At 36.2% G+C, this 19,123-nt stretch overlaps 1 long non-coding RNA gene across 1 annotated transcript in view, besides 1 other annotated feature; it reads right to left on the bottom strand.

Moving 5' to 3' along the window:
* Window positions 1-19,123, bottom strand: part of LINC01122 (long intergenic non-protein coding RNA 1122) — a 543,014-nt gene that overhangs the window by 422,480 nt on the left and 101,411 nt on the right. The window lies entirely within an intron of this gene.
* Window positions 6,748-8,425: an enhancer, noted in NCBI's record as "VISTA enhancer hs1152". NCBI's record gives its function as "enhancer in: limb[4/5]" and the evidence as "EXISTENCE:transgenic organism evidence [ECO:0001131][PMID:17130149]".

Below are 19,123 nucleotides of genomic sequence, written 5' to 3'. Positions count from 1 at the left end.
TAAGTGTTAGACTCTAAGGTATTTCTTTTCTAACCTTAACGTGCATGTGAATCACCTGTTGAAGATGCTGAGTAGGTCTGGGGTTAGGTCTGAGATTCTGCATTTGCAAGAAGCTTCCAGGTGATGCTAATGCTGCTTTAGTCATCAGCCTAAACTCTGAATAGCAAGGGTAGATAGCCAATGACTGAGACTGCACTCACTAATCAGGGTACAAGTACTCTACTTGCTAACTAGAAGTCCATAATCATGGACAACCAAGTAAGCAGGTAGTAGGGTTTCATTTTATTGAGAAAATTGTGAAATCTAACCATATAGTCTCTGCCTGCAAGTGGACCATTTGTCTGTGAGTTCCCTTGGCTATGTATGAAAAAGATTCTTTGTCTCAAATCATTTCACATATTGGTGTTAATTATTTGCTTGTTTTGTTTCTGGTCAAGTGAGATAGTAAGCACCCTGATAGAAAGCACCATGTTTATACATCTTTGCTCTCCTCTCTTTCTCCCAGCCAGTAGTGGTCACAGGTGTTACACAAGTATGTATGGTTGTAAATGAATAATCAGTCAACGACCAAAATACAATCATATGGCCCTGGCTCTACCCTTAGTGAATCACAAGCAGTAATCATTTTTGGAAACTATTAAAATCAAAAGTATCAAAAAAATTTGAGATAGAGATTAAGTAAAATTGGGAGCATACAGTTGACAAAAGCATATCATAATTGAGTTTCACCATCTATGAATCTTGCTAGATTTCAGAAAGCCTGCCATCTATTCATGAATTTATTAAACATTTATTGAGAGCCTTGCAACTTAAGCCTGTTGAAGTTGACAAAAATAAAATTGACAAATAATTAAATTCCAAAAAGAATAAGAATAAACTAAATGCATTGTGTTAGTCTGGGTATTTTGGAAAGCAGATGCCAAGATAGGATTACAGAAGAGGCTGGGATAATCCTCAGACCACGGTGCAGCTTGAATATGAAGGAAGGAGGGTTGAGTAGAAGCTTCCCAGACTGCTCAGCAAGCACAGAGGAGTCCTTGGCCAGAAGAGAGCCAAGGGTCCCGGCAACAGGACTGACTCAGCGCGTAGCAAAGCTCAGTGATTGGCTGAGGCTTGTGGGAGGCATGACCTTGGCACAAACTCTGAAGTAGATTTCAGAGCACAGCAGCTGGGGTCCTTGGTAAGTGACACTCCCTGTAGTTGGAGATGCACAAGTACATCCTTATGACTGTCAAAGGCACTTTATCAATGTTAGTACACATATGAGGCTACTACAGACCACTGACACATTTAGATGTATGAGTAGATGTCAAAAATGTTCTAATTTGACAGCTCCATAAAAAACATTGTGAAAGTGTGCTCATTATCATCAACAAACACGTCTGAAACAGTAAATATACTTGATAAAACCACACACACCTCAATATAAGGAAAATATATTAACATGCAATGCATTAACAGATTGTACTGTTCAGTCAAATTATATCATTTGAGATTCATGAGCCTGTTTTTAGATTCTATATGAATCTAGGGGGGAAACAAACATACCTTAAACCAAGTTATATACTTACATTCATCTTTTTGTTTTACGTGATGTATTCTTTATACTATTCTGTCCATTATAGTCCTTGTGTTTACCTTATAGAAGTGGTATTTCCTTGTATCTGCACATGCTTATAATTATCCCATATAATTTTTGAATGAGTTTCAAATAAATTCAAAGCTGAGTTTAAAATGCATTTTATTTTTATTTTTTTTAGAACAAGTAACATAATTATATATTATTGCCTTTATCCATATCTACCATCCTCACCAATTAAGACGAATTTTAAAATATTATACATTAATACTTAATATCTTTAGCATAAATGTGTATTGCATTGATTATAAAGCCTATTTGTTAGCTGATATCTGGTTAAAATTGATGATTTTTCTATTCTAAAACTCTTGTGTAGGAGTCAATATTCTATTTTTTAGCAAAAATAAATTATAATTCTACACTACCTGATCACTGTTTCCCAGTTCAGAATTAAATGCACTAGGGGACAGTTTAACTTTCATTTGTTATATCAATCAAATTTTATAATCCATTTCATTTGGTTGCCTGAATGCCATTCTGTGGCCAGCCATGAATTAGCTTCCCCTGAGTATAAATATGATTGCCCAGTTTGATGTTCAAAGTGTCTGGATGAGCACATTTTCGGGTCCCTTGGATTGTCCATTCTCATGCCCAAGGAGGTACACGGCAGGTTAGGAGGGCACTGTCATAGTTAAACTGTTTGATCCCTGCTGCTGCTTCCCCAAGATAGAGAAATAAAAGATGCCTGTGGCTCCCCTATTATTCCATTTTTTCTTATTTTAAACGTGATGGCTCAACCTTTCACACAAGCAGCAGGGAACTTTGAACTTTTCAGAATTCATTTAAAAATATTCAGCTCAGTATTTGTTAATGATATAAAATTACATCACCACAGAATTTACCATGAACCTGGGAAATATGTAAAAATTTACAAGACTAAAAGAATGTTTTCCTTTCAAATCTGAGAATACAGTTTCAAGGAAAAAATCTCTCAAATAAGATTTCAAGATATTACAGTAGGAACTGGAGAAAGCTTATGTCAAAACCCAATTCTTATGGGAGGAGGTCAAACTCCAGAGTAAAGGAAAAATCTGACACATTTTTCTGTGATTAGGTCATATGAGAATGCTTGAGGTGAGAGAGGAAAGCTACATGGAGTGTTACATCTTTGCTATTAATGAATTTTTGCCCCATTTATATATACAGTACATATATTTCATAATAATCACATGGGAGTGAGGCGTTTTCCAACATCCCACATTCATCATAATTAAACATTTCAGAAGGTGGACTGAGGAGCCAAAGAATGTAAGCAACAAGATCATAAAGACTTCTTATTACAACGCACCAAGTGCAAACAGGGCTCCTGAAATAATGAAAGGAAACGAAAGAAGATAAGGCTTAGGGTAACAACCCTAAAGTGGATTATTGTTTCTTGGAAGAGAGGTTCACATCTAATTAGCATAGCTACATTTTATAACTCATATTGTATAAGACATAACATATAAAACACAACAAAATGAATAAACAAAAAAGTTAAGCTGAAGAGATTCTCAACTACTAATCCATATGATTATAATCTAGTTTGTTACATTAAATTTTATTGTCCCATACGTAAAATTACAGCCTCAGAATTGTGCACCCCAAAAAGATGCTATAATTATTTAAAGGATCTTAAAATTCTAAACACAGGTGGTAATTCCATGAATATGCTCTTAAACTTTTGAAAATAACTAACTCCCAAGGGTTTTTTTTTAATGGACAAAGAATAATTAAAGAATAATAATAAATTTCACCAGCAGTTATTATCCGTCTTCAAAAAGAAATCCTTCCTAGACTTTGACTACCTAGATCTGAAGAGATGCAAATATTAGGCGTGTTATCATTCCACTCTCCTGCCACCAAGCCATACATTGATAATCAATAAGGAGACTCTTGCAGCTAACCTCAGGCTTAGCTAGAAACATCGATATTAGCGCCAGAAGCAGCCACTGCCAATCGATAAGATTTGGCAGGTGATTTGAAACATATTTTCCATTGCTGACTTAAAGCATGTATTCTTTGGAACACTCAATTTGGCATTTGCTCATATATGTTCGGTATTATTCTGCAGGGGTGTGTGTGTGTGTGTGTGTGTGTGTGTGTATGTGTGTATGAGAGGAATAGAGACAGAGAAAGTTTCATGTGTCTAATTTCATTATAAATTCTACCAGGGCAGAGACCATGATTCCACTTCTTCTATATCCCCCTAAGTGCCCAGCACTGTGCCTGGCTCATATTTGTTAATCAATAAATATTTGTTGACTTAAACAAATAGGTCTAACCATAAGTTTCTTGCCATATTTGTCCCTACTCGCTTGTTTGATTAAAGCAACATATTATGACCTGACTGATATAAAAATGAAAACCTATGACACCAAAGGTAACTGGAGGGGTCTCTTGAGTATAGAAACACTGGTCCACAATCTCCCATCTGCAACTGTGAAAACAAAAAGCTATGAAAGGCTTTTCATAACTCATGTGGCAGCAAAACCAGACCTGAACTAATTTCAAGAAGATTATTTAGAATCTTTATTTATCCCACTCAATGTGAATATTCATACACTGCGATGCAGAAACATGAATGTGTTTGATTATAGGGTGCTGCCCCAGACCCAGCTGGAGATATTGCATAATCTGCGGTATATGCACCATAGTACCTTTCTAAAAGAAAATTTCTAAACACGTCTCCGTCTCAGGGATTTTGGGTAGTGAATTGTAGACTACATGTGTGTGCTTCCTGCAACCCAGTCCCTGACCTATTGCACAAATGAGCTACATCACTTAGTCTGATTCAATAATTTCTAAAGAAGAGACATTTGAACTTAAAGTATAATACAAAAAAGAAGAGACTTTTGAAAGAGACAATGCTAAACAAATCAACTTATATGCCATATCAGATCATTTCATTTTACATTTCATATCAACATCTCATATTGTTGAGATGTTGAATATGGGTTGTGGATCGCTTTTGGGATTATGTTTCCCATTTGGGAACACGTTTTCCATTCTTTCTACTAAAAGGCATTTCAGTCTATGAATGGCTACTATGTAGAGGAATTTCATAGTTTCTCTACTGGATTTTCAGAATAAATCACATGTTAAATGCTGATTAAATCATATCAGGATTTCAATTGACCCCTAATGTTTCTAAACATATATAGCAATGCACTGTACCACAATAGCGTCCCTCGTTAGTGTTCCCTTGATGACCTAACTTCATTTTAATATATAATATGAAAAAATACATTCTCTTGAATTATTTTTAATATTATAATGTTAAAGGAAACTTATTTGATCACTATAAAAATGCGAGAAGAAAAAGAATCAAAAATATAATTTTCAGTTTTTAAGAATCAGAAATTGTATACAAATAACATACAAAGGCATTTAACAGGGTCTTTTTAAGCTCGCAGCATTATTCACTCAGCCCTTGTCAAGTGCTTTCCTTTTTGCATGAGTTTGCCACCTCCCAGCAATGCAGTTTACTGTTGCATGTGATGGGGAAGAGACCTGTTTGTACTGTCACAATGGCCAATAAACCTGAGCTGGAGACTCTTCATTTTAAACCTAAAATAAATAACTAGATTTCATTTAAACCTCCCTGTGTGAACCACCACAATCTTCCTAGTCTTCACTAGCGGCTTTTAATGCCCAACTACTTAGGAATCACAAGAGTGTCGGAGTGTTTAGTGACTCTGATCCTCCCATCAGTAAACTGATCTGGTGATAAAATGGAAAGGGCCTTGTACTATTTGCATTTTTACTCAGTTTAGTCACAGATCACAAAATAAATTAGTAAATTGAGCAACAAGGCTTCCCATTTGCAAAACCCCAACGTTCAAAGTAATCATCTATGCTTAAATTCACAAATCCTTAAAAATGTAATAATTTCCCTGTCAACTAACAAAAATAACAGTGCTACAGCATTCATTTAGAACTCCCTGTATGCTAAAGGCCATGGCTGTGTTTGAATTTGGAATTTTAATATTTAATAAATGAATGGATTTTATAGGTAAATTTTCCTGACACCTTCGCCTCCTTCAAATATTTAGGACACATGATAAAGATGGGGGAGAAATTGAGGGGAGGTATCCGATAATTCAGCAGATTGACTAGTGCTCAAGTACACTCAAAGTTCAATAGACACTGGAATAATGTCACATTTAAGGTCTCTCAAGGCATGAGAGAGTTTAGCTTAGCTACTTGAGCCAACGTGATAGCCCAAGCAGGCTTGCCCCCTCATCACTGTCACTCAAGACAAAAACTGCAATGCTTAGAGATGGCAAGCTCATACCAAATGCTACAAAAATTTTCAAACTCAAAATATTATTGCTCTGTAATAGAGGCTGGAGTGACTCACAAAGACACTAACATTCTCAGTTTAGAGTAGAAAACTTGATCAAGGACTTCGGAGGAAAGCCTATCTTATTGGGAATATGCAATAGTTTTTCTGTCTGCACAGTGCTCCAGGCGAGGTCTCATCTCACAGTGGCCTTAAGGAGAAATAAAGGAGATGAGTCACCACCACTGGGATTTTAACTGGCACCCTGGGAAACAGGTTTGCAAATGCTGAAACCAAAGCTCCAGAACTTCATTTCTTTCTTAAAAAAAAAAAAAAAAAAAAGACTGGCGGGTTGGGGTGGGGGTGGTGGGGCTCTCGAGTGGAATCAAATCCAGGCTGTTGTGGTAAGAAAGCCCATGACAAACCTTTGGCCCACCTAAGATGAGTTAATTATAATATACAGTAGTAAAAAGTACAAAAGCCCTGGGTTTGCCCCAGGCTATGCAATATCTTTATCAACATCACTGCAGCATGAAATGCACAACTTTGAGTCTGTAATAATGGTATCAGGTAGCCAATTAAATGTAATGGGAAGAGGAAGCTAAACAAAACATAGAGGGCAGGGAGGAGAAAAGCTAATACCCAAACTACTTCAAAATATCCAAGTTATTCTGTTTCAACCAAATCACTGAACACTAGAAGCAGGTCAACACTGAACTTCATCTACTGAAATTCAAACATCAGACCAAACTATTTTTATTGTACTTAATTTCTACCAATAGTTGTGAAACAGCAAACATGCTATAGGGAACATGGTACATGATCTAATAAATATAATACAGTGGCTGCAATAAGCACAAGTGAGACTAACTAGCTCATGGTTTTACTGGTAACTAGTTTGTTTTTAATAACCACAAGTTTAAAATATAACTTAGTGTTGATTTTTTTAAAGCTCTCAAAGGTAAATATAAGTAAATAAACAAATAAATGAACAGATAATAAATCATAGCAACAATATAACTCTAGGAGAGAAAAACTTGTCTAGTGAGATATTTTATGTGTCATAAAAACAAAGATGAAAAGTACTATTACTTGAGGTTGAAACACATTGTTTCTGAAAATATAATGTGACTCCACGTGACCTCTACTACCGTGTGCAAACAAGAAAAAACAAAGCAAAAACAAAAAATTCCTATCTGATTCATCATAACACATTCCTTCCTGATGCTAATCTCATCTCTTCACTGTGCTACTCCGCAATAATAGTGGTCATCTAAGTCCTGTTAATCCTTTTAGCAAGCACTAATAATTATGCATTAGTACAAATAACATTGAAGCCTTTTTTCAAATAATTACATATATAATGAATGTATCTTTTAAAAGTTGTTTACAGCTAATTAACCAATGAATAATTGTTTTCTCTTCCTGAACAGGGAAAGCTTATCTTAGAGTCACAGTTAAAAATGCTTTTTTTCCAGTTTTACAGATGTTGTTAGCAATTAAAACTGTTAAAACACTATTAAAAAGAACTCCTTGTATTAAAGGGCTTACTCATCCCAGTTGTTGTGGTTTCTCAACTACTGCATCTTTTAAAATCATTTCCAGTTTGAAAGGGCACTGGTGGCTCCAAACCCAACAGACCTCTTTGTAAATAGTTCAGATCCTTCAGTATCACAACACAGTTTGCTTGTTGCTATATGACTAGTTTAATTGTGGGCTGTAATAAAGGTCATAATTAATATCCCAACACAGACACTAACAAACAATTTTAAATTGCCAGCATAATCAAATGATGCAAACATCTATGAGCTACAAAAGTTCATTGCCGCAACTGACAATTTCTTAATTGTATTCAGTCATTCATGGAAATTTTATTAACATCGAACTGATGTATCCTGCCCTTACTCTGTCACAACACCAGGGATCTAATTTCATTATTTTCCACAAGATTTGCTTGACTACTGCCATGATTCTAATATTGCTTTAGTCCAGATGTTTATGCTATTTAAATTAGGAAGAAAAGCCTTTTGGGTAAACACAATTAAAGAAGTTTTTTTTCAAATTTAGTTTAACAAACTTCTTTTAATTAATGCATATAGCTGCAATGTTGAGGCTTTTTCACTGATTTTATGTTCATTTCCTACTGTGTGCAACATATATTGAGTGTACAGCTACAGCTAAATATAACCAACCACCTTTTAATTTTTCACTTACTTCTGAGTGCTCATTAAGGTGAAAAATAGAAGCACATGACTGCACTTTTAACTTTAATCAATCTCAGGTGTGTGTGTGTGTGAATGTGCATATGTGTGTGTCTGTATGCACAAGTTGCATCCATGGAGACATACAGGTCACAAATACACAGAAATACCTATATATAAAACTCTAGATAAATCTATCTGATATTTGGTCACCTTAAAAATTCCCCTTTTTATTCATTTTTTTTTTTGCAAAATAATCCCATAGTAATAAGTGTATTTAGCAACTCCCAGTAGTCTAAAATCGAATGATGTTTTCAATGCATTGAGAAGTCTTAGGAAAAAAACAGTAACAAAAAACAAAAAACTCTGTTAATGGATTACTGATGCAATTTGTTTTCATGAGAGGAGCTTCTGCCATCTCATAGGAGCTTAGTTCTAATAAATAAATAAGATCTTTGTTCTCTTAGGTAATCATTTTCATTCATTGGCTTCCTTATTTAAGTGATTATAATAGCTCAGAAATACTGGCAGGCTGTTTAATAGTGGAAAGCTAATACATTTACATCACTTTTGAAAAAAGTGTTACGGTCAAAATGCCTATGTGTAGCAAATGGATATTGTACTACTCTTAGAATAACATTATTTATAAACAATATTAAATTATTAAATCGACATCCAAGGAATGTCATCTCCTATTTAATGGTGTATGCAGATGCTACAGAATGTTTCATGAAAGTATCGGCACCTTCAATGTTTATTAAACCAATGAACTAACCAAATTTGGGCAATCTGAATAAACCATAGTGTTTCCATGTAAAACAGAACCTCAGAGATACTTCAAAATCATCTGTAAGAATGTCAGTGACAAGAATTTTAAGCTTACCTTGTTTTAATATCTTATTTCAATTCTGATATCAGCACAATCAATTACACAACTTCAACTAACTGATGAAACTCCCCCAAGTATATCTGAGAAAAACCAATAAAATTTCCTCTAAGATCTAGGCTTGAAATGTCTCAATATTTCACAAGCACAGGGATATTTACAAACAATGGCAACATCTGCTATCACTCTAAAATCATGCCTGCTTCCATTTATCTGGAAGAGGTTAGAATTTTCTCAATCCATAAAATCTTTTCCTCAACAGGAGTTTGGATGGCGCATAATATCACTTTAGTGATGGGTTTCTCTTACTACTATTATTTCCCTGTGACTACATTGATTAGGAATGGCTATTTCTTGGACATCTTATATTACCTAAAAAATCCGCCTGCTAAGAAACTCCCATTGAGTAAAACACTTCCCTTCATTTTAAAAACTACATAACAAAATGAATTATAGCCTTCTCCCTTCCACTATAGAATTCAGGTGACAATGCAAGTTTAATGAGACTTGGTTAGAGTTTTTCCTGGGGTTATTTACTTATTACACTATTACTAATATCCAGAAGGGAAGCATCTGGCTATTCCCATCCTTACAAAATAATTATTTAAAACAAGAAAAGAAAAACTTTGTGTCCTAAATTTAAAAGACTTCTATAAAAACATAATCTGAAGTTTTTGCATCATATATGTGTTAGTGTGTATGTGTGTGTGAGAGAGAGCAAGAGACACAGAGAGAAAAAAAGATAAAGGAAAAGGAAGGGAGAAAGATTGAGAGAGAAAAATAGTTCATGACAGGCATAATTCATCTGGATTACTGAAAAAATTTGCCCGGGGTGGGTTCTATACCTTTAAATGTTAGTTTATTTCCCTGATGAGCTCTCTATTTTAGAGAGCTACATTTGGCAAAGTTTCCAAGTATACCGTGTCAATTTTATAAAAACTAAAAATATTGTTGAAAAAATATTATCCCAAGAACATACGTAAAATTATAAATATTCAGCACATCAAGCTTTTGATATACTTTAGTGCACATGAACTGAGTAGCTGTCAAAATTACAACAGGCAACTCAAGTAATTATGCAGATTTATGCAAAACATTAACAAGAAGAATTAAATGCACAAATGAGGTGGCTACACTTGAATTGTTAAGATTATGAATAATTACCATGAATCTTTTTGCTCTTAATATAACTTGTTTTTGATAAACAAAGCCTTAATTATCAGAATACTTTTGAGAATTTTGGTGACCTTCATTAATCTTACAAAACAAGTCTCTTGTGTTCTGCATTGTAAAAGGCACATGCTCAGAATAAGTACACGAAACCTTGGGAAAAGCATATGTTAATGGCTGCTACAAACTGGTGAAGGATACCTCTGGTTTCAGGTACACAGCATTCTGTACACGTAGCCAAAATAAGACTCAGAACTAGAAGGTACTTTCATTTGGAAAAATAAAAATAAAAAATAAATAAAATCCTGCTACAAAACTGTGGAGGGAGGCAGGAAGAAGAAGAGAAACTCTGAAAAATTGTTTCAATTTTGTAAAATATTGGGTTAATTTTAAAACAGAAGGAAAATAGCAACCTATTAATTCTTCCTCTCTAAGATGCAATGAGTTCAATAAATCATTTCTAAAATAACAAAGTACTGAAAACATTCAGTCATAACTCTTTTTCATGTATCTTTCAGCCACCAATTTTCCTTAGGCAGATGCCTCTCCCAAAGACTATGGAAATTGTACCCACCACCTTGATTGGTAGACACAATTTTCTGAATGTGATTCTCATATTCACTCATCTCCACCAATAATTTTTACCCTGCCCTCCTTCTCTCAGATAAGCAGTGGGACCTCTTCATGTCCCCTCAGTTAATTTCAGAATTAATTTGCAACGCTGTCATCAACACTGTAACAATTCACTGATCAACAGTTGCAATTCTTCATAACACTGTCAAACTCCCAGCTGCCATGGTGGCAAGCTGCATTGCCCCGACTCCAGACATACTGCTTTGGGACTGGTGGAAGAAAAGGACTTTGGAAGCATCTAGGCTTTAAAGCTATCCACAATATCTCTTCCCTGGAGAGCAAGCTGTCAGATCAATGATGTTTTTGTCATTAAAAAAAAAAAAAAATTAAAAATTAAAAAAACAAAAAACACCGCGTGAGAGATCTGAATATGTTTGGGTAAATATCAAATACTTTGATGCATAAAAATTAACTTAAAGAGGTCACACTCCGACAGGGTACATGCTTGCACTTTAAGAATGGTTGTATTTTTATATATTATTACATGACAAAATAGGCCAGGCCAGGAAGGTCTAAATATCCCAGGGACAGTACAGATTGTGCAATGACTCAGAGGAACAGACAGTAAATACTGCTAAATTATGCCCAGACAAGTTAATAATTCTCAAGCATATTTCTGAAGACCATCCTGGCTAAAACACATTACCAGCACATTGCCAAGTCCCTGCCTGCTGTCCCAGAAACTTTTAAGATTTAAAGAGAGTAACTTATTTAAAATGATTTTTCCCCTAGGATTGCGTCCAAGTCAACAGAAAAGTAGCCGCCTGGGACAATCTGCTCCCATGTCTGTCCCTCATCTCATCACATGTGTGACTGTGCTATTGGAGTCATATTGGTGGCCCGATATTGCAGAAACACAGAGGGGTTGACCAAAAAAAGAAGAGAAAAGAAAATCCTTTTCAAATTGAGAACAAAGAAACTTTTACTTCAAAAATTGAGAGAAATGTATCTAAGCACTTGGCCTAGATCAATAAAGTAATAACGAGATCATTTCCTCATTCACAAAAACAAAAAATGAAAAGCTGGACTTGATAGCTACAGCAAGAAAAATTTTTCTTTCTACTCACTAGTAATTCATTAACCATCTTTCTTATCAGTTCTCACTACTTGTGGCAGAGGGTATTCAGTGGTGTCCTTTCCCCTCCCTGCTTCCCAAACCCATCACATACACACAGACATACATGCACCTTCTTTAATTATTCTGGTTAGGTGTTCACCAGTCTTAATGAGGTGAAAATACAGGTACAATTCAATGTATATGACCACAATTTCTATCCATTATCTATGACAGCCAACGAATGCATCTTCCCCAAATGATGCTCAATGAAATAGAATCAATATGGGAAGTATACCTAGACTGCTAGTTAAGAAATCTACACACATGCTCAAATGGCAATTCCTTTGGTGCTCTAGATCAAAATTTCGTCTTAGTTTTCTTTTTCCATCTGTGATATAAAAATATACAACCTACTACCCAGTGAAATGCCATGGATGGCACTTTTTTGTTTTCAAAATTATAACTTAATATCTAAAGATAGACATCTCTTCAAATTTATGGTATGTAAATCAGACTGCATGGGGGCAAATGGTTAAATGTAGCACCTTAAAATTTCAACTTTTTAAGAGAAACACAAAAAGGCATAGAAAGACCTACTATCAGACGACCACAGCTGTTGAGGAAGGGGACTAGGAAATTGTTAGATACCCTCTATGATCACAGTAACTCACAAGCAACCCCAACCCTCTTCTTAGGTGAGGGTTTTTATCCTTCTCTTTTGTTAGGGACCCTGCTTGGAAGTATCCTGAACAAAGATTCATCCCAAAGAGTGCAGACGGACTTTCTGCTTTCAAAATGTATATGAAATTTCAATTGGACACTGTTAAAAGATGAATGCAGACTAGATGTCCAAGATAAGTCACTAGAAATAATATTCAATTACGTGTCTGAACTTGAAGGAGGCTTCCAAGAATAAGTCACTCCTCCATCCAACATTTATTCAAAATTACATATTAAGTGTGTGCTTGACAACTGACATAGCAGTCTCAGAAACTCACATATACAAGGCATGTTGGTTGTTGCTATTTGATGGTAATCCTGGACCTCCTGCACTTTATCTTGGTCTACCAGGGACAGATTTGGCAAGAGGAATATAGGGTCAGTTGGCCTTGACCTCACATTCACAAAGGACCTCAAATTTCAGCCAACATCATACATGCAGTCATAGAGAAACATTGGCAGGATTGAAAGATGATATTCATTATGCCACTTTAAAAATTTCTCCCATTAGTGGGCAATGGTAAAGATAGTGTTCATATTCTTTTCTTCTTCTGGAAACTCAGAAAATTCACTTCTCAACTCTGTTGCAGTTACAAACAAGGCTTTTTGACTTGATCTAAATGATGAAAAGTGAGCTAACATATCTTCTGGACTCTCCGGTAGCCTTCCACTCTTGCATAGTAGACAGAGGCTGCGTGTTCCTGGCAGGGACAAAAAGGTGGAAAAATGAAGCCTTAATTAGCCTAGATTGCTGAATCACTGGTAACCCCTGGAGAATCATCTAGATCTGCAGTGGACTTTTCATGAAGAAAAATAATAAATTTTGTTTGTATAAAACCACTGACATTGGGGTTTGTTTGTTGCTGCAGCATACTTTACCCTATCCTTATACATTGACCTTAATATTTAGTGTTCTAAACAAATGCTAAGATTCTATTTTGCACAATGATACAGTATTACGGGATTGTTAAGGGGGTTGGGTGTGTATGTGTTGAGGATAAAAGAAGTGACTGTAAAACGTTAATGTTTACTTGTAAACATTTAAAATGTACATTTCAGATGTAACATTGGAAACATGACAATTTAGGGGTCCTGTTTTAGGGTGCTTCCTTTTTTTTTTCTTGATAATTTTTCTCAACATACATGAAAGTCCTGGTCCTTCCTCTACCCTTGAGAAGCCCTGCTTTTGACTGAATGACTTGAAAGCATAAAAAAAGATGCGCGCGCGCGCACACACACACACACACACACGTCACTAGTCTGAATGTCAGAGATAGTAGTACCTTGCATCAACTCTGAATAAAGGTTGTTGATCTCTTTGGCCTCAGATCCTTAACTGGTGTAATGGAGACAAGTGCTGTCTCTGTCCCATGATAGCCATGTGTTCAAAGATTCAAAGAAGATTTAGAAAACAATATTCCTGAGTAGGTTCCAACTCTTTAGATCCAGAATTAAAGACAATGGTTGTCAATTTCACAAACAACACTATAAAAATATGTCATAATTCACTAAGCCAGCATTCAGCACTTAAGCCAGAGTAGAGACCCAGCACAGGTTTCAGTGGACAGTCTTTGAACCTAGAAATAAACTGGGTAAACCTCAGGTTAGGAAAATGTGTCAGGGAGGATTTGTTGCCCACCCAATATTCATTCTCCCCTTCTGTTGTCGTAATAACCTTGCATTTGTTTAAAGAGGCAATGTGCTCAGCTAAAAGCTTTTATTTCCCAGGCTACTCTGCATCTAGATGTGATTATGTGACTTTGTTTTGGCCAATGAGAAGTTAACAAAGAAGGCCTTTTAATGATTTGACAGACACTTGGAGACTGTCCTGCTTCCCCCTTTCTTTCTTCCTGCCTGTATACAACAGCTGGAGATTCAGTCGCCACCTTTCTACCGACTGGTATTAAAGATGGTAGAACATACACATAAAAGGAACTCAGGCTCCAGATGAGCCTAGGAAGTGCCTGCCTACCCTGCACTACCCTCTTAAAGCTTTCCTTCACACGAGAGAAAACCTTCTAAATTTTTAAGCCACCGACTTTCCCATCTCTATCAGCAGCACACAAGTCCTCGCCAACAGAGCAGTGATCACAGGCAGGCCCAGGGGACAGGGCTGTGAGAGCCGGGAGCTGAGATGACTGCCTGAAGCTGTCAAGTACCCACAGGCCTCTCCCAGAAGAGTTTCTGACCAAATCTCTGTTCTGAGCATGGGTTTGAAACATCAGGGAACAATACTACGTAAGAGCTTGGTCTTTGGAGTACAACCCAACCACACCCAAGTTGAATCTCAGCTCTGCCACATACTATCTATGGTCTTTGGAAAGTTACGGAGCAACTCTGAGCTGCAGCATAGAAAATTTGTCACTTATGAAATGAGAATAATAATAGCTCTTCCTTTATCCTTTTGCTCTCAGAATTAAATGAAATAATATGAGAAATTGGATGAACGTATAGCCTGGCACATAGTAAACCACAAAGGATTCCCAACTAACTCCATCCTCAAGATAGAACTCCAGTTGTTCAATTGGCCTTACAGGTTTTCTTTCAATTCTTTCAAAAGTGTAATGGTGTGACACTCTTCAAGATGTGCTCTATCTTATAACCCAATGCAAAGCCCAACAGAGCAGACTATGCATGTTCTAGAAGCACGTGAATGTTCATCTGGGCTCCCTGTCCACCTGGACCACGAAGCAGGGCACAGCCCCAGGTTAGGCCTTCACATTAGCGTTAATGGTAGGGTACAGTGACTGAGAGGGAGCTATGTTTATCTTAGTAAAACAAGAGTGTCACTTTATCCTTGAGAATTCAGGCTCTCAAAGTCACAGCATGGATTACTTGAGAATTCAATATAGTGGTTATTTTTATCTCCATCATTATAAAATAGAAATATATTTAAAGAAATGTAAACATTATATGTTATATATGTTATAATAATATAGAAAAATAAATATAACTATGAACATTTCTATGTTTCTATATGTTCTACAAGATTTAGTTATTTTTAAAGTAGATAAAATGCAACTTTTTTGTAAGTTTGAAGTTTCATCAAAATGAAAAATTACAAGGAGAAAAAAAGCAAGTAAAAGGCTCAGCCTTCCTTATCTTCTACACATCATTCAAGAACCACTTCAAATCTTGCTTCTGTGATCAAGTTGTCAGACACAAAACTTTCTCTGTACTTCCCGACTCCAACCTGGCTTGGGGTCGGTGTGCAATAAATACATTTTGAAAGAATGAACATGTAAATACAATGGCAATCTAACTAGTCTTCCTGTTTTCCACCTATCCTTCACACCACCCCTGGGATGAACATATTGGCCCCCTGTTTATCAGGACATCCCCTTTGTCCATTGCAATGGGCTTCATTTTTCAAAAAAGCTTTAAACAATTATTTCAAGAAAACCTGACTAAAAAGTCCAGTAGATAAAACAAACAAAGGAGAAGCTGTCCTGGTGAAAACGGGGGTGAGAAGCCCAGAGCCCTGCAGATCAGCTTTCTTATCTTCACAGCTCCCATCCCATTGCTCGTAAGGGATTTCAGAGAGCACAATTAGAAAACTACTGGCTTAAATACTAAATTTCAAATTACTGCTTTGTATCACTCACCTCCAGCCCTTGCCCCTAATATACAAAGCAAACACTCAACCATGTCAAATGGCCCAGTTTCTTTTGCTTTCCCCTTTGCACGCTTTGTCCCCTTCTCTGAAGAAATCTGCTTTTCATCTTGCCGCCTGGTAAAAACCAATCCATGATTAAAATTCCTGCTCCTCTTCTGTGGAGTTGAGGGGTATGAGCCTCATTGGTTTCCTTTTCCTTGGGTTCCCATAGTCTCTCATGTGTATATGTCTCTTAGCTTTCACCATACTGTATTATTATCATATGAATTCCCCACCCCCACTGGATTGGTATTCCTTAATGACATGGCCTATACCTTACATATTTGTGTCCCAGGTGCCTACTGAAGAAACTGGTATATAGTAGTTGCTCAATAAGTCATTGCTAAATGAACAGCTAAACAAATTGATATATTGTCACCTGATTATTTTATTGTTTATTTTTTTGTTTTGCTACTCTGCCTTTTCTTCACAGGTACTCAATAAATTATTTGAAAACAAAGACCTAATCATATTTTTCTTACTTTTACTTTACCATGGTAGGTAAAAGCTAGGAACATTGATACACTAATAAAATACTTTCTAATTGAAATAAAGTATATTTGAAGGAGTTAGCATTGTGTCAACAAATACATATAGGCCATTTACCACATGGCAAGTTGTACTAACATCAAACATTCCATGAAAACAAAACATTTGTATTCTATCCCAGAGACAAGATAAATGTATTTTTGGTAGTAAGAGAAAAAAATTGAAAATAAATATGGTATTTCAATGTCATAAAAAATTTTAAACTTACAAGATTTTGAACATTAGATATTTTTAAATGATTGTGTTATTTCAGAGTTCAAGAAGCCAAAATAAGAAAAAGCTAAACATAACCATATGGATACCACAAACTTTAGAAAAGGTGGACTCAAAGTGTTACGTAGAAAGATAAGCAAGAACCCAGGTCAGAAACTGATGAAAACAAAAGCTGCTCATGACAAGAGGGAGACATTACAGAAGAGACAAGTATCCAAACAGGTCATGTGGCAGCCCAGGGAACAACCTGACAACTGCAGTTTCTGTAAAGGTTTGTACAGTAGGTTCCAGGAGGAATAATTAACCAATGGTGAAGAGAGTACCCTAGCAAGAAGGAACAGGGTCACTTGAGTAGAAAGTCCAAAATAAGAGGAGGTTTGTAAGAAACCCTAATGACAACACAAAGTCTTCTAAAGCTATGTCTAGAGTAAGAGAAAGATAAAAGTGGTAGAAGGTCTACATGGGGAAGAAGGTATAAAATAACTGATAACAGAAAGTAAAGCCATTCAACTCGGTCCTGCTTTCTTTCAAATAGCACTGTTCTCATATAAAAAGGTAAACATATGGAGGGCGATGTGAAGCTCAGGGTACGTGTGAAGATAAGTGACAGGATAGTTAGTAGTTCTTGAAGGTCAACAATAATTTTATGGCTCATAGGAGTGAGTTCAGTCAGGACACAAAGAGACCACCTCTAAGGAAAGTGATGACGTATCTGAAGAGGGAAAATACCTTCCTCATGAAAAAATTTTATGGTGATGGACCACAGAACTCCTCCCTTGGCCTTGTCCAGCATCAATGATTTGATTCACATGTAAATGTCATGTTTATTGAATACCTGGATGCCTCAAAGCTGAGAAGACTAACATTTCAGATGCACAATGGCAATCTGTAAAATATCCCAGCATGTTGTAATAATTAGGGTAAATGAAATAAGATTCAATTTAATAAGGAGTAAAATCTTCAGTTGGATAAAAAGAGAATTATTACAAAAACTGAAGATCTGGAAAATGTAGCCTAGAAGTAGTAGCTTAACTGAAAAGCATTTGGGAATCTTAGTTAGCTGTAAGCTCCATGTGTATCAAAAAATCATGATAATAGCTGCCAGAAATGTTAATTCAATCTTTAGCAGTATGAATAGCAGCAAAATTCCAATAATAAAGATAATGGTCCCACTCTACCATTAAATGTATGACCTACAATATTTTTCCTCTATTCTGAGTGCTATATTTAAGATGATACATCACTCACTGAAATACATTCAAAAAAGACCTATCAAATAGTGTGGGAACTCAAAATCATATGTTGTGTCTAGTGCCTGAAGGAACTGATGGCCCTTTATCTGCAGAGGGGAGACTAAGAGAGGGAAATTATTACACTGTCTTCAAGTATTTGCAAGATTCTCAGATCACATAGATATTGAATATATCTTAGGTAGATCTAGGTTTCATGGGTAAAAGTAATAAGAAGGGAGGAGTGGTTTTTTTTTTTTTTTTTTTTTTCAGAGTCTCATTTCACCCAGGCTGAAATGCAATGGCGTGATCTTGGCTCACTGCAACCTCTGCTTCCTGGGTTCAAGTGATTCTCAGGCCCAGCCTCACTAGTAGTAGGATCACAGGCACCCGCCAGCACGCCTGACTAATTTTTGTATTTTTAGTAGAGACAGGGTTTCACCATGTTGCCTAGGCTGGTCTTGAACTCCTGACCTCGGGTGATCCACCCACCTCGGCCTTCCAAAGTGCTGGGAGTACAGGTGTGAGCCACCGTGCCCAGCTGGGGAGGAGTCTCTGACTTGCCAGAGCAGTTATCAAATGTTTTGATTTCATAACTCTTTTACCCTCACTATAATTTATGTGGGCTGTATCTATTGATATTTACCATATTTGAAATTAATTCTCTCTTAAGACTGCTACCTGTAGGCTTCATCTGCATAATAGGAACCTTGGTCTCCACAACTCTTTATCTTAACCCAGACACTCCCTTCTATTGATTCCAGGTCTTTAGATAAACTCTCCACCAATTGCCAATCAGAAAATCTTTAAATCCACCTATGAACTGGAAGCACCCCACTTTGAGTTGTCATGCATTTCCAGACCAAACCAATGTATATCTTAGCAGTATTGATTGATGTTTTATGTC

The sequence above is a fragment of the Homo sapiens genome, chromosome 2 (genome assembly GCF_000001405.40).
Source record: "Homo sapiens chromosome 2, GRCh38.p14 Primary Assembly".
NCBI classification, from domain to species: Eukaryota; Metazoa; Chordata; class Mammalia; order Primates; family Hominidae; genus Homo; species Homo sapiens.
Note: the sequence above shows the minus strand (reverse complement) of the source record. Positions and strands in the feature narration are given on the sequence as shown.